At 41.5% G+C, this 19,106-nt stretch overlaps 1 protein-coding gene across 12 annotated transcripts in view; it reads right to left on the reverse strand.

The window, feature by feature from the left end:
* CRACR2A (calcium release activated channel regulator 2A) overlaps window positions 1–19,106 on the reverse strand; it is a 137,782-nt gene that overhangs the window by 83,107 nt on the left and 35,569 nt on the right. For 11 of the 12 annotated variants that reach the window (XM_011521034.4, NM_001144958.2, XM_006719021.4 and 8 more), the window contains one exon: window positions 14,803–14,883. The gene's annotated coding sequence lies outside the window, so the exon portion shown is untranslated. Of the gene's footprint in view, window positions 1–1,373; window positions 8,221–14,802; window positions 14,884–19,106 lie in introns of those variants that run through there. The other variant, XM_011521036.4, reaches the window with a different exon arrangement.

Raw genomic sequence — 19,106 nt, forward strand, 5'->3', positions numbered from 1 at the left:
AAAATCTGTTGATTTCAGTGATGATCTTCCACTTAACCAGATTTGTCAAGAGCTGTGGGCCAGAGCTGGAAGAGCTCCTGGCCTCAGGAATGAACTTCATGTAATAAGGCCTTGACATTGCAGATCAGGCTACACCCTTTGCTCCGTGTGGCTGAACATGTAATTCCCACACTGACCCATCTGACCAGCCCCATCCTCAGGAAATGTTCTTTCTCGTCATCTCTGTGTGTGAACTGACCATCACCTAATCCTAAGCAGATTTAACATTTTCATTCTGTCTTCCCCAGAGGGAGCTGCCTTGGATGGAAGCCTGAGGGGGCAGGGCTGTGTCTCCATGGCTTTTATGTGCATTGTTCAGCCCGCCTGCATGAAGTGCTGGCTTTGGAAGGGCTTTTGGATAATGATGGTGGTAACGTGAGCTTCTGTAAATATACCACATGAGCAGAACAGGCTGTTGTCTTCCTGGTACCTTGCCGGGACTCTGTCTGCAAGGTCTCTGCACCCAAGAGGCCCCACCCTACTCCCACCTGCTGCTCCCAGGAGATGAGGTTAATAATATCTGTCATTCCTTGAGTGCTTTCTCTTGCCAGGCCCCTAGCATACTTCATCTTATTGAACCTGACATCCTCCCATATGGTAAGTATAATTAGGATTCCCATTATACAGATGAGGAAACTGAATTTTGGAGAGGTTAATTTGTATCAGGGTCTAGCACAGTCAGAGACCTCTTCTGCTATACACATTGCCTTCCTGAGACCCAGTTGTGGGCTTGCTCTTAACAGTGTACTCATCCCCAACTGATCTAAATCACCTCCCAGAGGCATATTCATCATTTTAACGGGAACGTCTTTAATTCATTCATTCATTCATCCATTCATTTATTTCCATCTACTGATTACCATGCAGCAAGCTCTGAGCTAACACTGTGAAATAGTGTTAGGTGAAATAGTGAATAGGACATGGTCCCTGCCCTTAATGAATGAGTCTCTGAGAGTCCCTAATGGTGGGATTTCAATAATGGTGACTGATAGTTGGGGAAGATGTTTTAGATTGAGTCCTATATAGACTCTGTAGTAATCAACTACTATTAAATAGCTGTGTGACCTTAAGTGAGCCCTCAAGTCACTCTGGGCCTGAGAAATAGTAGAGAGGATTTCTTAGTTCCAGATCTGATGTTTGCTGGCTTTCTAACTTCCCTAGACCACTTTCCCTCTACCTCTGCCCACCTGGTAACAACAGGTGATGCATGACATGAAAGAATCAACTAGTAGTTCTAGAGAAGTCAGCTATGAGCAACCAGTAGACAGGCACCATGTCTTATTCGATTTTACCGCCAGTTTCTAGCCTAGAATATGGTACATAGTAGTACTCACTGATCATTGCATGAAGGAAGATCAATCTTTTGCTGAAGTCTTCAGAGGAGGGCCTGCAAGCATTTTTATTTCAGGCAGGTAGCTCTATATGTGGAATTTTTATCTTATAATGAGTAAGTCTAGACTTCTGTTTCCAGAAAAGATGTAGTATCAGAGGCTGGATTTACCCTCCCAATTGAAATAACCAAAATTCCAGAGAGAATATAACTTTAAAAATGGTTTTCAAGACACTAGACACCAGGAATGAAGGATGGTGATCCTTAAGCAGGGGCAGGACTATATTGAGCTGAGTGAAGCCCCTACCGAACAGGATTTAAAAAGACATCTACTCTCAGGAGCTAACCCTGCACTTACACAACCCTGAGAATTAGTATCTTCCTAAGAGTCAGCTGCTTAGGGTACAAAAATCTAAGGAGGCTTTCACTTGCAAAATTGTGCATCTGACAGTGATTTCTGCCTTAAATTTTTTTTGTCATAGGGGCTTCACTTATCTTACTCTAGTTCAAGCTCTGTTCCTGAGACATAGGAAAGAAACAAAATGAACCCCAAGTGTGCCCTGTCTTATTATCTAAAGAGTTTTTAGGTCATGGCACGGGGAGGGGAAACACAGGCACAGCTTGGTAGACTACCTATGTTGAGGAAACCCAACTATATCCTGCCTACAAGAAATGTGCTTTACACATAAAGACACAAACTGTTAAAAGTAAAAGGCTGGAAAAAGATATAACACATTAACATTAGTTAAGAGAATACTGCATATTAATATCAGGCAAAATGGATTACAGAAGGAAGGATATTAGCGGGAATTAAAAAGTCATTTCGTATTGATAAAAGGTCAATCCATCAATATGCTATAATAATGCTAAACACTTATGTGTCTAATAGCAGAGCTTCAAAATACACAAAGCACAAACTGATTGAACTCCAAGGAAAAATAGCAAAGTCACAATGATATCCAAAGATTTCAATAACTTTCTCTCTCAATAATTTATAAAACAAGTAGACAGAAATCCGTAAGGATACAGATGATTTGAATACTATCAACCATCTTGACTTAATTGACATTTATAGAACACTCCACCCAATGACAGCTAAATATACTTTTCAAATACACATGGAATACTGACCAAGATAATCCATATTCTGGGTCATAAAATGAGTCTTAATAAATTTAAAAGAATTCAGTTTGTACAAAGTATGTACTCTGACCACAATGGAATTACATTAGAAACCAATAACAGAGAGACCTCTGGAAAATGTCCAAGTATTTGGAAAGACAGTAACACACTTCTAAACAACTCATGGGCCAAAGAAAAAAAGGAAAGGGGAAATGAAAAAATATATTGAACTAAATGGAAAAAAAAAAGCACAATATATCAAATGTTGTGGGATACTGCTAAAGCAGTACTAAGGAAAAAATTTATAGCGCTAATCATATATACTTGGAAAGAAGAAAGGGCTCAAATCAATGACCTCAGATTTTACCTTGAGAAACAAGAAAAATAAATACAAATTAAACCCAACGTAAGGAGAAAAAAATAATAAGGATCGGAGAAGAAAAAATGAAATAGAAAGCAGAAAAGCAATGGAGAAAATCAACAAAACTAAAAGCTGGTTCTTTGAGAAGATTAATAAAGAGACAAGACACAAATTACAATAGTAGCAATGTGAGGTGATATCATTACAGATACTATAGACATTAAAAGGCTAATAAGAGAATATTATGAATAACTTTATGCCAACAAACTTGACAATTTAGATTAGATGAACTGATTCCTTGAAAAACACTAAATACCACAGCTCACTCAAGGAGAGATAGATTACATGAATAATTCTATATCTGCCAAAGAAATTGACCTGATAGTTAAACAAAAAATCTTCCCACAAGAAAACTTCAGGTCCGCATAGCTAAATTGATGAATTCTATCAAATATTTAAAGAATAAGTAATACCAATTCTATACCGACTCTTTCAGAAAATTGAAGACTAGGAAATACTTCCTAACATATTATATGAGGCTAGCATTACCCTGATACCAAAACTGAATGAAGATATTACAGAAAAAAAATAGGCCAATATCCCTTATGAACACAGATGTAATCATTCTTCAGGAAATTGTAACAGATTGAGTTCAACACCATATAAAAAGATGATAATCCTGACCAACCAGGGTTTATCTGAGAAATGCAAGAATGGTTTAACATTTGAAAATCAATAATGTAATTTACCATATTAACAAATTTTAAAAGATAAACCTTTTGATCATCTCAATAGATACAGAAAACGCATCTGACAAAAGCTACTCCTGATAAAAACTAAGAGAACTAGGAATAGGAAGGAACTGGCCCAACACGAAAATGGGCATCTACGAAAACAACAGCTAACATCATACTTAAGGGTGAAAGACCAAATGTTTTGCTCCTGGGGTCAAGAAAAAGACAAGAATATCTGTTCTTACCACTTCTATTCAACATTGTGTTGGAGATTTTAGCTAGCTCAATGGAGCAAGAAAAAGAAATAAAATACATTCAGATTGGAAAGGAAAAAGTTAAATTGTCTTTATTCCCAGACAGCAGGAGTGCTTATATAAAAAAAATCTGATGAAATTCACAAAAAGCTACTTATAAAATAAGTGAATTTGACAAGGTTGCAGGACACACACTCAGTATATGATAATCAATTGTATTTATCTATACTAACAAAAAAAAATTAAAATTGAAATAAAAATATCATTTGCAATTGTATAAAAATATGAGATATGAATATATCTGACAAAGGATGTCTAATACTTATACACTGAAAGCTATAAAATATCAATGAGAATACAAAGAAGACCTAAAACAAATGGAGAGATATGCCATGTTCATGGGATCGAGAGACTCAATATTATTAAGATGTCATTTCTTCCTAAGTCCAATAGATTCATCTCAATTCCAGTCAAAATCCCACCAGGCTTATTTGTAGAAACTGATAACCTGATTTAGAATTCACACAAAAATGAGAAAAACCTAGAATAGCCAAAACAACTTTGAAAAAGAAGAACAAAATTGGAAGACAAACACTACCTGATTTCAAGACTTATTATAAAGCTATAGTAGGCAAGACAGTGCTACTGGCATAAAGACACACAAACAGATAAATGGAACAGAATATAGAACAGAGAAGCCAAAAATAGACCCATGTATATAAATGATTTTTTGGCAAAGATGCAAGGCAATTCAGAGGATAAAGCATAGATTTTTCCAACAAATGATACTGAAACAATTGAATATCCATTTGCAAAAACAGCTTTTTTGTTTTTTGTTTTGAGACAGAGTCTTGCTCAGGCTGGAGTGCAGTGGCGCGATCTCTGGCTTACTGCAAGCTCCACCTCCCAGGTTACGCCATTCTCCTGCCTCAGCCTCCCGAGTACCTGGGACTACAGGCGCCCGCCACCACGCCCAGCTAATTTTTTATATTTTTAGTAGAGATGGGGTTTCACCATAGCCAGGATGGTCTTGATCTCCTGACTTCATGATCCGCCCACCTTGGCCTCCCAAAGTGCTGGGATTACAGGCATGAGCCACCGCACCCAGCTGCAAAAAGAATTTTAATTCGCACTTTGTACCATATACAAAAAATAACTACAATGTATCATGGACCTAAATGTAAAACCTGTAAACATAAAACTTCAAGAAGGAAACATCTTTGTGACCTTAGCTTTGGCAAAAGTTTCTTGGGTATAACAACAAAAGTGCAATTCATTTGAAAAAAATACGACAAATTGGTCTTCATCAAAATTTGAAACATCTGCTCTTTGAAAGATACAATTTAAGTGAATGAAAAGCAAGCCACAGACTGAGAAAAAGTATTTACAAAACACATATCTAATACAGGGTTTTTATCTAGAACACATAAAGAACTTTCAAAACTCATTAATAAGAAAACAAACAACCCACTTTTTAAAATGGGCAAAACATTTGAACAGGCACTTCACCAAACAAGATATAGGGATATCAAACAACTACATAAAAAGATATTCACCCTCATTACTTATAAGAGACATGCAACTGAAAACCACAATGAAATACCACTACACACCTATTGGAATGGCTAACATTATGAAGATTGACTGTACCAACTCTTGGCAAAGATGTGGAGCACCTGGAACTCTCATATATTGCTAGTAAAAATGTAAAGCAGTACCATTCCTTTGGAAAACATTTGACAGTTTCTTAGAAAGTCAAACAAGTGTTTAATCCAGCCATCCTAGTCCTAAATATTTACTCAAGAGAAGAAAAGCATGTGTACATACAAAGACTTGTACATGACTGTTCATAGCACTTTTATTTGTAATAGCAAAAAACAATGACCCAAATGTTCGTTGACAGGTAAATGGATAGACAAATTATGGAATGCCATTCTTAATTAAAGGGAATGAACTGTTGATCCAAAGCACCAAAATGAACAAATCTCAAAATAATCATGTGAGTGACAGAAGCCAGACAAGAAAGGCACATTTCATTTATATAAAACTCTAAAAAATGAAAACATTTGTTAGAAGAAAAGAAGTGACAGTAGGCAGGAGTGAGAAGGAGGGATTACCAAGGGGCAACAGGAAATTTTGGGGGGTGTGGATATGTCTGCTACCTTAAGTTCATGAATATGATATATGATTCCATGATAGTTTCCTGGACTTATTTATTCATACACACACACATATACACATATACAAATGTATATTAAAACTGATCAAATGGTACACTTTACATATAATGCAGTCTATTATATGTCAATAGCTGAACACATCTATTAAAAAATAGAAAAGAAGAATGGGTCTGGGTCAGAACCTTCTTCTGTCTCCCAGGCCTTGCAAATCTAGTCCAGTCCATTGTACTTATCCCAGGAGCCTGATTCTGTCTTTTACATTCAACTCTGGCAAGCAGGAAATGGCTGAAAATTAAGCAATTTCCCTGTGAAAACTTTCAGTCTGTTTGTGGAGGGAGCTAAATAAACCCTACAAATAAAGAAGCAGGCAGAGCCCCTTGTGAAGACCACTGATCTAACACGACTTCAGCCTCTTCTCTCTTAACCCTGTGTCCCCTGGCTAGACCTGCAGTCTTTGCTGAGCGTCTGTGGCTTTCTCAAGACCAGTGGAAAACAAAACAGCAGAAGTGCTTCTACTTTCATTTCCAAATAAAGTGGAAGCCCTGCATGAGCTCGGCTGTCTCCCATTTGGATGAAGCCCAAGGATGCCTTAATCTCAGGGCTAGACATAGCTTTTTGTCTCAGAGATTTGCCATTAGACCAACAGACAGTAAGCACATCCATAAAGGAGGAAATGGTGGAGTATATTCTAAAGGCAAAGGGAAAAGACCACCACAAGGAGAAAAGAGAAAATACTTTTTATCTGCCTGACTCTGTGAGAGTTTCCAGGCCACTCTCCTCCCTCCAGAATGATTCCATAAAAGCCGTTATAAACAGATGGGAATTATCCAGTCCTTAAATATATCCAGGAAGATTTCCCAGATATCCAAGGTAATTCTAGCAGCTTAGTAACTGCTACAATCAGAAAGTTCGTAGATCAAACCTAAATCCCTCCTAAGGGTTCTAAGCTAATTTTCCCCTTAATCTAGAGAACAGCTGGTATCTCCTTCCACACCACACCAGTGGCAAACCTGAAAGCAGCCGCTAAGTCATCCAGATTTCCCTTGAATGTCTCCTGCAGCACAGAGTTAGGAAACTGAAAGGCCAAAAAGCATCTCCAGGATCCATTGACATCTCTTTAACCACCCAGGCTTCAGTGGGAGGGATCCTCCATAAACAGCAGTACCTGGAAGCCCCAGTGATTAACTCGGAGCTGGCGATGCCTGATAAAGGCAAAGAGATAGGTGGGTCTCTTCAAACTGCAGAGAGGAGGAGGACTTGGGATTAGTATCTGATGTGAGTGCCGTCTTGTGGAACAGACCCCTTAAACTGTGGGGTCCGCACTAACTGGATAATGTCGGAATTGAATTGACTTATAGGATACACATTTGGTGTCAGAAAAAAAGACACTACAATATTTAACAATCAATTTTCTGGGTTGGTGTAGGGGGCATCCCTAATTTGTAGCATCTGCCTATCTCTGTGGTGTCAATATTCCCACTGTGACCAATTTCAACCTACCAACAATCTATCAGCTCTCACCAAGAAAGAGATTGAGTGGCTGATGTTTCTGGAAAAGGGAATCAGCATCCCTAGCACTGTTTGCACAGGTGATAGTAGCTGATACCTCTTTAGAAAGTATCCCCTCAACCCTAAACGTATAGGGCAGGACCCATTATTAAATGTCTTAGTACTTGGGGGGAAACGTGGGGTTTCACAGGGGGATCACCAGTTCTTCATGCCTGTGCCTCTTCTATACACCCCATGACCTGGGCAGGCCCTTGAGTGGGGGCAGGAGACAAGGCAGATGCAGGGACCCTGATGGCGAGGAACAGAGATGCTGAGCTGCGTCTCACAGGGCTGCTCTCTCCACCCCCGTGCAGGAGGAAAGCACTTGGCACAGGAGCCAAACCCAGCCAGAAATGAGACTTGTCCCTGTTCCATAGGAGAGTGTTATTTATTTCTTTGACACATAGTGAAGTAGGGGGCTTTGGACAAATACCACCCCTTCTCTGATAGGCCTCCTGCTGTGGTGGATAAGAACATAAATTCCAAGGCCAGAGTGCCTGAGTTAGCTGTATGACTCTGGCAAGTTTCTTAAGCTCTCTGAACTTCATTTTCCTCATCTGTAAAATGAAGGGCCAGGGTAGCAACTTACATGTGTCAGCTATTACTTATTTATTTAGAGACGGAGTCTCACTCTGTTGCCCGGGCTGAAGTGCAGTGGCATGATCTCAGCTCACGGCAACCTCTGGCCCCTGGATTCAAGCAAGTCTCCTGCCTCAGTTTCCCAAGTAGCTGTGATTACAGGTGTGTGCCACCACGCCCAGCTAATTTTTTTATCACTTTTAGTAGAGTCGGGGTTTCACCACGTTGGCCAGGCTGGTCTTGAACTCCTGACCTCAAGTGGTCCACCTGCCTCAGCCTCCCAAAGTGCTGGGATTACAGGCATGAGCCACCACACCCAGTCTGTCAGCTATTATTACTACATTGAAATCAAATTGGCTTCCTCCACCTCAGATTATATTATAATAAAATGAACTAATAAAAGAACGAAAAACAAAACAAAACAAAATTACATGAAGAGAAACAACCAAGAGGTCCAAAAATCTACCCTTGACTCCCCCAGCTGGACAGGATTTCCTGGTGTGATTTTCCCTACCCCAGGCCACCAAGAAGGTGAATATGCCCCACCAGCCATATAAAGGGGCAGGTGGATGGAGGTGCATTTGACTGCCTTTGAAATGCGCAGTCTTTCCACTCTGCAGCCTGCTGTAGCTTCTGCCATGCTCTATCCAGCATCCCTTCTCCTCAAATTAGGTCCAATTTTCTTGTTCTAGTCTCAAGGGAGACAGGGAACAGCTGTCTCCTACCTCTGTAAAATACTCTTCCAGGTCTGGACAACTATCATTAAACAGCCCCCTTCACACTTCTCTTGCTCTATTATAAGATACATTAAAAGCCTTGATAATGATTTGAGGTCTCTGTGAGATGGTTGCTGTTCACCCTAATTCCTTCAATAATTAGTGGTTGTAAACCACTTTGAAGATAAAAGGCATTTTATAAGAACTAAGCCCTATTATGATTAGCTTTCCAATATTTCCTTGCTAAAGCCAATGAGAACATCAAAGCCAAACATAGCCACAGCATGGTATCTGGTGGTTAATTAGATGTATTTCAAGGCGTCTGGTATATATTAAAGAAACTGCTACAAAATTTATCAACATTAAAAAAGTGTCTGCTTTCTTCCCATGAACAAGCTTTTTTCAAAGGCTGTCAGTGCTGATGCCTGCAAGACAAGTGCCTGAAGAGGACAAATTGCTCATGTATTCCCTGGGCCCGGAAGAGAGAGATGTAATAATAACACCTGGCTTGGTATAACATCCTTTCTTATCGTTGTCTATACAATTCTATATATACCAGATCTCCTTTTGTTTTGTTTTTGCAATTATGCTGTAATATAAGCAAGTAAAGTAACACTATCCCCACTTTACAGGTAAGGAAGTTGCATATGATGATGAAGTTTAGAAGCAGATCAGTGTGATGTATCTGGACAAAGTCGGGGCTGCAGATCCGTTATCAAGGTGGTATTATCGATGCTCCATTCAGATACCCTTGAATACTTTTTGTGGACCCTCCCTCAGCATCCGTGTGCTTTCGCTTCTATCTTTCTGAACCTGTAACTCTTAGAAGGTGGACCCTTGAGCTATTGATTGACCCACTTTGTCCACATGGACAGAGCCAGAAGTGCCTGGAAGTTTCCCCCACCCCTCTAAAGAGCCCTTATCCAACGACTGACAGGCGTGGAATTATGAAAGCCCGGTCCTCCTGCCTCCAGAGGGGACAAACTCTAGTTGTGATTTACACTTTAGAACACTTTTCTGGGGACAGAGGCTGGAACTTTGCTGAGATCTCACTATGTGTGGCTTTCTCCTACCTCCCATCCTGCTTCCCCATCCCTTATCAGGTTCCCCTGGAAGCATTTTCTTTTCTTTTCTTTTCTTTTTTTGAGACGGAGTCTCACTCAGTCGCCCAGGCTGGAGTGCAGTGGCGCCATCTCGGCTCACTACAAGCTCCGCCTCCCGGGTTCGCGCCATTCTCCTGCCTCAGCCTCCCGAGTAGCTGGGACTACAGGTGCCCGCCACCACGCCCGGCTAATTTTTTGTATTTTTTAGTAGAGACGGGGTTTCACCGTGTTAGCCAGGATGGTCTCGTTCTCCTGACCTCGTGATCCGCCGGCCTCGGCCTCCCAAAGTGCTGGGATTACAGGCGTGAGCCATCATGCCCGGCCAGCATTTTCTTAATAAATCACCTGAATATGACTCTTCCTCTCAAGGTTGGCTTCTGGGAGCCCAATCTAAGATAATTCTTTTGACCCAACATTAATGACAACATTTTGTATATTTTCTATGCGATATATTCTCCCAGTTCCAAACCTTCAAGTCTCCAGACCTAAATATCTATGTTTTCTGTGTCTGCTCCTAGGCCCTTAACTCTTAGCACTCTATTCTCAAAGCCTCTCTTTCTCTTGGATTATGATGTTCCAACTCTTTCTGGAAAAATGGTTGCAATTTCTCCAGCTACGTGGAAGGCACTGAACCTGGCAGCTGATGTGGGAGATACAGATTTGTATTGTCTTTCACAATGCACTGACAATCTAGCAGGGGACAACGTACAAACAGCAGAGGTAGAGGAGGTGAGAAGAGCCACTTGTGTGTGCAATAAAAACTGTAGGCACAAACAACTCTCAGAGCGGTCCCCAAAAATAAAACTACTCTCCAGTAATTTTCTACACCATACAATTCTGACTCATTTTACTTAATTTTTGAAGCAGAAGCTTCTCTCAAATGTTTAAGGAAATGAAAGTCAGCTATGGTAGAGATAATCCAAATGAGTGGATAATCCAATAAAGAGGAGGTTTTCTTTAAATCTGCTTTGCATTATTCTTTATAGTAGCACCACAGGAAGCTGTTTCAGAAAAGTTAAGTAATTTATTGTAGGAAAACAGCTAATTCATGAATTCAATCTTAAGTCTGCCTGACTCTTTACAACCTCAGTTTCTGGCTGGGCGCAGTGGCTCACGCCTGTAATCCCAGCACTTTGGGAGGCTGAGGTGGATGGATCACTTGAGGTCAGGAGTTCACAACCAGCCTGGCCAACATGGTGAAACTCCGTCTCTACTAAAAATAAAAAATTAGCCGGGCATGGTGGCACATGCCTGTAATTCCAGTTACTCAGGAGGCTGAGGCAGGAGAATCGCTTGAACCCGGGAGGTGGAAGTTGCAGTGAGCCAAGACTGTGCCACTGCACTCTGGCCTGGGCGACAGAGCGAGACTCCGTCTCAAGAAAAAAAATTAGAAAGTAAATAAAACCTTGGTTTCTTTATCTGTACAATGAGGCTAATGATTCTTACTTGCAGAATTGTTGTAAGGATTAAACAAAAATAATGCACCCAGCATATCGAAAATACCTGATACAATATGGACTACATGGTAGCTGATTGTTATTATTATCATTCCCAGATATAATATGATTGAACCAGAGGCATTTTGTATGCACATATTAAAGGCTCCTAATGTGTATTACTAAACTGCTTTCCAGAAAACAGTTAAACAAAGCCCTAAGAACACTGCTAGGAAGACCTGTCTAAAATGCAGACCTGATCATGCCTCCCTGTTGTTTTCAGTGTCAATCTTAAACACACAGGACCACTACTACTTCTTTGGAGTCATCTCCCTCTTCTCCTACCACGTTCACTTCCTTCCAAAGTATTTCCTGTTCTCTCAGCTTTTTTGTGCCTCAGCATCTTCAAATATATAGCTCAGTCATCTGGCATGCCCTTTCTGTTTGTCTGTGCTAAGTCTTACCAGTATTTAATATCTCACTCTATTCCAGCTAATATAACAAAATACCATAGACTGGATGGCCTATAAACAATAGACATTTATTTCTCCCAGTTCTGGAGGCTGGAAGTCTGAGATCAGGTGCCAGCATGGTTGGGTTCTGGTGAGGGCCCTCTTCTGAGTTGCAGATTGCAACTTCTCACAGTGTTCTCACATGGTAAGAAAGATGGGAAGTTGGCCGGGCGCAGTGGCTCAAGCCTATAATTGCAGCACTTTGGGAGACCAAGGTGGGTGGATCACAAGGTCAAGAGATGGAGACCATCCTGGCCAACATGGTGAAACCCCGTCTCTACTAAAAATACAAAAATTAGCTGGGCATAGTGATGCGTGCCTGTAATCCCAGCTACTCGGGAGGCTGAGGCAGGAGAATCGCTTGAACCCAGGAGGCGGAGGTTGCAGTGAGCCAAGATTGTGCCACTGCACTCCAGCCTGGCGACAGAGCGAGGCTCCACCGCAAAAAAAAAAAAAAGAAAGAAAGAAAGAAAGAAAGATGGGACGTTTACTAGGTCCTCTTTTATTAGGGCACTAATCCCATTAGAGTCCTCAAAGGCCCCATTTCCTACTATCATCCACTTGGGAGGTTAAGTTTCAACATAATGAGTTTTAAAGTGACACAGTTATTCAGTCCGTAGCATTCCAAGCCTGATTTCCCCAACTCATGTCCTTCTCACATGCAAAATACACTCGTTCCATTCCAACAGCCTCAAAAGTCTCAACTCGTTCTAGCATAAACTCAAAGGCAGAAAGTCCAAAATCTCATGTAAATATCATGTAAATTAGATATGGTTGAGACTCGGTATTATTCATTCTAAGACAAATTCCTCACCAGCTGTGAACCTGTGAAATCAAACAAGTTAGGTGCTTCCAAAAACAATGATGGGACAGGGGCACGACAGATGTTCCATCTCTAAAGGGATAGGCTGAGAATGTTCCAAGTCTTTAAGTTCTCTGCCTTTGACTCGCAATTTCATCTTAAGTCATAGTCCTCCTCTCAAATTTTACTTTAAGCAGTCGAGAGAAACTAGGCCACTCCTTTAAACTTTGCTTAGATATTTCCTCAGTCAAATATCCAATTTCATCACTTGCAGGTTCTACCTTCTACAAAACACTGATGTGAGCACAACTTAGCCAAGTTCTTTGCCACTTTATAACAAGACTGGCCTTTCCTCTAGTGTCTAATAACATGTTCTTCATTTTCATCCGAGACCTCATCAGAATGGCTTTTATCATCCATATTCCCACCAGTGTACTGTTCAGGATGACTTACATCTTCTTTAAGATTGAGGCCTTCTCTACAGCTCTTCTCTTCTTCTGAGCCCTCACCAGAACCACCTTTAAAAGTCAGGTCATGGCAATGTAGGCTTTTTCTAGCATGTACCTCAAAATTCTTTCAGCCTCTGTCTATTACCCATTCCACAGCCACATCCACATTTTTAGGTATTTATTACAGTGGCACTTGGTAACAAATTCAGTATTAGTTAGAGTTTAACATACAAGATGCTATACTGAGGTGGAATAAAAGGCCATCCAAAGGGCTAAATTTTGACATTTTCTCCAAACCATAGTCTTTCTTGTATGAATCACTATGAGTTTGGATAGCATATTATTATCATGGATTTTAGTGGCTGGTTGAAAATGAGAGGAAAACAAAGACAACAATGAATCTAGCCTGCAGAGATAACCCCACTTGGTATCTTAGCCAACAGTTCCCAATTATTTCCCCATCAAACCCCTAGTCTTCATTCCCTCTGCCTTCCCTATTCTCATCCTGTCTCAACCCCATCTGTCAAGAGGCTAGCAGAACCATAGTATCATAGAAAGGTTCAGGCATCAAAAATAAAGTTCAAGTGTGAACTTTGCCACCCTGTGACCTTGGGAAGTTGGCCATTTTTTTTTTTAAAGTGGGGATAACAGTTTCCTCCCTGCCTATCTGTATTAGGTCATTCTTGCATTGCTATAAAGAAATACTCGAGACTGGGTAATTTAAGAAGAAAAGAAGTTTAATTGGCTTATGGTTCTGCAAGCTATGCAAGCATGGTGCGAACATCTGCTTGGTTACTGGGGAAGCCCCAGGGAGCTCTTACTCATGGCAGAAGGTGAAGCAGGAGCTTGCATGTCAGATGGCAAAGCAGGAGCAACAGAGAGAGACACAGTTGGGGGTGAGGTACCACACACTTTTAAATGACCAGATATCATGAGAACTCACTCACTATGGTAAGTACAGCACCAAGCCATGAGGGATAGTGCTAAGCCATTCATGAGGATTCACCCCCATAATCCAATCACCTCCCACCAGGCCCACCTCCAAAACTAGGGATTACAATTCAACATGAGATTTGGGCAGTGACAAATATCCAAACTATTACTATATTACTATCCCATGGGAAGTGGCTGAAATGAGACAGCAGATGTGAAAGTGAACAGTGATGCTGTACACCAAAGTAAACACACCCTCCTCATTGCCAAGGGAGGCTGGACAGCAGGGAAATCAGGATTGGACAGGCTCCACAGTGGAACTGGCTCTGTGAGTGACCAGTGGCTGAGGAGCAGCTCTTTGCAGAGAGGGGCTAGCAGACCCTCTCTGGAGGCTTCCAGACCCTCGTGCCCACATGTAAAAGAGCTGGGCAAAGTGACAAAACCCCCTCTCCCAGAGGCCTCCCTTAAATGAACTTAAGTGATACTCCAACAAGGTGGAATAGACCCTCCATCATCTAGTATTTTTAAAACTGTCCTCAAGAAGGCTGACGAATTGTTTCTCAAATCTAAGGGCCCACTGCTGATCCTCATGAATATTAAAAAACAGCTACAATAGTGCTAACAAGGCAGGGCCTGAAGTTGGGGTCTGGGGTGGGGGCAGATCTAGTACTCTGCAACCTGTCGCCTTTTGTTCGCTCACTCACCTTGCAGCTCCCGGCTCCTCGGAGGACCTGCAACTCTTCACACCTGGAGGGTACTTTGGCCACTGGTGACTTGAATTCCACCTAGGAAACACACAAGAGATGAATCACACCTTATTTTCCACTGAGGGTTACAACAGAAGTGGCTTTATAGCAATTTTGGAAAAACTTGGGAGGAAACATTGCTCCTACCGCATTGCAGTGTTCTGGAAGAAAACAGGCCTAATTCATCCTCTTCCAGGTTTTGGAGAAGAGGAGGGAAGATGAAGGAATAGCGATGATAAGTCTGCTTAGTGACCCTGAATCCAGAGATTATGTCCAGCCTGATGGGAGCAGGCCCTTGTGCATGAGAAGGGGGTAGCCTCAGGGTTAATTGGACACTGCCCCCCTGCCCCCAGCAGAGCTCCAGCTCTCAGCAAGTGCTCTTGAAATTCTTTCCACCCAATCCACAGACGCTGTCTACACCACAGGAGCTCACCTTTGAAGATAGCGATGTAAGCATTGTGGCAAGAATCACTGCCTTCCCTGAGAAGGAAATGCAGTAGGATGTACAAGAAAGCCTAGGGGCTACATAAGGAGGGAAAGCTGAAAAACGATGGAGGAGGGACAGGCTTAGGGACAGGGAGAGGATGGGCTTCCTTGCACAGGACAGTTTGGGAGTGTTACGACTGAACCTGGAGAGCAATTTTACAGAATGCTTTGGCCACATGCTGCGTAGCATGGTCTGAGAGCATGCTTGAAATGACTGAAGGGAGCAGTAGTGATTACAAAAAGGGGATTGGGATTATCTATTGTATAATGCCAAAGCTCAAACCACAGCTAGACCTGAAGTCCAGATGTATATCACCAAGGAGGCTGGCCTCTGTGCCTCTCATATGCACAATTCATGGGAGGCAAATATTCATCAGCTGTTTCCTGTTCTATATGAGGTAACACAGCGCTCATGTTCATTCATTTGTTCAATGAATATTCACTCTGTGCAGGCACTTTTTTTAGGTGCCAAAGGCAGCAACAGGCAAATCCAGCAAGGTATTGTCCTTGTGGAGCTTATATTCCAGTGGGCAGAGACAAATAAAAATACACAGACCAAATAAGCACTTTTAGATAATGAAAAGTGCTGGAGCAAGATAACCCCCTCTCTAAGCCACCTGTTGGCACCCCTGTCCCCTGCTCCACTGGCATTGCTACCAGGATGCTGGAAGCAAACAAATGGGGAGACTTCACTCTCTGGTGTTTTCCCAGGCAGCAGCCCTCAGCAAAGCCAGTGCAGTGGGAAAACAGGAGAGGAAAGCTGCCCTGTCTTGCCCCCACTGCTGACACCTGAGAAACTCACTTAGAAAAAAATTGTTTAGACTATAAATAAGATATGAACAGTGTTATTTCTAGATGGTAACCTTAAGAGATGATTTTTATTTTCTTCTGAATTTTCTGATATTTTTATTACTACAATGCATTATTTTGCAATAAGGAGAGAAAAATATTTTTTAATGAGAAGATTGGCCTACCTACATTAAATTAATAAGAAATACATTTGGACAAATAGACAGGGGCCAGATCTTAGGGTGATGAACAACATCTTACCATATCACTTTATGGTTTACAAAGCAATTTCACAAAAACATCTCCTTCAACCCTTATAAGGCTTTCTCGAGGTTACATAGAAAATGCAGTAGAATGCCTGACCCTCAGGTCCCTGACTTCTAGGCCAATGTATTTTCCATTATTCCACTGCCCATCTGTAGCAGACCTTACTTCTCTTTACAGCTGAGGGATTCAGAAAGCCACTGAGCCCCAGATCTGAACTCTCTTGTCCCAAACCTTGCCATCTCCTAGAGTGACCATGCTAATTAATTCATGCATTTATTGATCTAGTCTTTACAGACCCCCTACCAGGTTCCAGGCACTGGGTGCATGGGATATGGCGAAGAAGCAAATAGGTCTCCCAGTGGGTTGGGGGAAAGGCTTTAACAAATGAGTGAATATATGATATAAATCATGGTAACTGCAGTACAAGGAAAGTAAAGAGTATTCTGTGAGTGGCTAGTATGAGAGGGAGCTAATTTGGACGGTGGCACTAGCCCTTCACTCAATATCCCAGCAATATGCTGTCACTGAGTACAACCAAGGTAAGTAAGACAGCTATTCTAAGATGGAGGCTGAGATTACAAGAGACCAACCTGAGTCTCAAAGGGTGTATGTTTTGGATGCCTAGAGAGCTTGCAAAGCCACATGAAAAGTTAGTTAAGAACATCACACGTACTTATAATAATGAAACAGCTCCCTTAAACCCAGCCTGAAACAAGGTACAGTTTACCAACCAGATAGGTCATCAGAGATGTCCCAAGTCCACATATGATTGTCACTGGGAGAGGTCACTGAAGGCCAGGAATGTGAAAGTAAAGGTTAAACCAGACAACAATATGTAGCTAACAATAAAAGGGGACTTCAAAAAGTTCATAAAAATGGAATTAAAAGATGAAAATTACAAATATAAACTTGATTTCCCAACATAAGTTCCATCATGTTTGATACACTTTTTTAAGCAATGACAACAGCCATATAGTCCATCCCTAAAGAAATGAGGGTCCTGGGAACTTAATCATGTCAATGCAGTCTTTTTTGCATTATTAACTGAAGAAAAATGAGTGCCCTTTAAAGATTTAAGATTAGAAAACAAAAAGAAGTCAGAAGGAGCAAAATCAGAACTGTACAGTGGATGCCTGATGATTTCCCACCAAACCTCTCTTGAAATTGCCCTTGTCTGAAGAGAAGAAGGAGCGGGAGCATCATCCTGGTGGAGGACTCTCTGGTGACACTCTCCCAGGCTTTTTTTTTTTTTCTTTTTAGGTGTTTTTCTTCTAATGCTTTGGCTTTCTCATAATAAATGCTCTCATAATAAGCAGATGTTATTGTTCTTTGGCTCTTCAGAAAGTCAACAAGCAAAATGCCTTGAGCATTCCAAAAGACCATTGCCATGACCTCTGCTCTTGACTGGTCCACATTTGCTTTAACTGGGCCACTTCCACCTCTTGGTTTGATTGTGCTTTGTTTTCAGGATCATACTGAAAAAGCCCTGTTTCATCCCCTGTTACAGTTCTTCAAAGAAGTCCTTCAGGGTCTTGATCCCACTTGTTTGAAAGTTCCATTGAAAGCTCTGCTCTTGTCTGCAGCTGATCTGGGCACAAGGGTTTTGTCAAACACTGAGTGGAAAGTTTGCTCAGTTTTAATGTTTCAGTCAATATTATGTAAGCTAAACCAGTTGAGATGTCTATGGTGTTGGCCATCGTTAGTTCTGTTAAACACTGGTCCTTTTTAGTTAGGGCACAAACAAGATGTATCTTTTCCTTGCAAATTGATGTGGATGGTCTGCTGCTATGGGCTTCATCTTCAATACCATCTCATCCCTTCTTAAAATGAGCTGTCCATTTGTAAATGCTGATTTTTGGGGGGCATTGTCCCCATGAACTTCTTGTAAAGCATCAATAATTTCACAATTCTCCTGCCCAAGCTTCTCTACAAATTTGTTGTTTGTTTTTGCTTCAATTTTAGCAGAATTTGTGTTGCTTTGATAGGGGCTCTTTTCAAACTGATGTCTTTTCCTTCTTAGTGACTCAAACTAGATCCTGTTCAGATGTTATACCAAGTTAGTATGAGTTTATTTTGGTGCTAAAACAATTTTGAAATTCTTGTATTTTTTTTAATAATATGCATTTTCCATGAACTTTTGGAAGACGCTTTGTACAAGCCAGGACACTTCAGTGTCTAAGTGGATGGCACAGGCATTCGATACCACAGGACTTTAGATGGGGAGAGGACAGGAGCTGACATGTCAGGAAAGGCTTCTGTGGAGCGAGTGGGATTTAAACTGGGCTTAGAGAGTGAATAGGGTTTGGATGCTCTTCAGGATAATCCCATTTAGCAAGGTCACGAGAAATGCCCAGGAAACCCGCAGCAGTCGATGGGCCTTCTCTTCCAGATGCTAGAGGCTGGCTTCCTGGCCTCTAGCCTATCCTGGGACTTCAGAGTGAGGCTGTACCCCCTCCATCATGTCTGCTGGTTTCTAAGTGTCTCTCTAACAATGCTCTGAAGAGCCAGGAGTGCTGCTGGCCACCAAAGCTGAACATGAAGACTGATTTCAGCACTGGGCAAGCCGGCAAATGCTTGCATATATCCATACGCACAACTCAAATACTTCCAAGTGCTGGGACCCAGTGGCCACAAAACATTCAAGTCAGGTTATGTTCTCAGCTGCCACTTGATATTGCAGGCCTACCACTGCGATCCGGGCTAGGGTAAGCTCCCTGGAC

Source organism: Homo sapiens, chromosome 12 (genome assembly GCF_000001405.40).
Source record: "Homo sapiens chromosome 12, GRCh38.p14 Primary Assembly".
Lineage (NCBI taxonomy): Eukaryota > Metazoa > Chordata > Mammalia > Primates > Hominidae > Homo > Homo sapiens.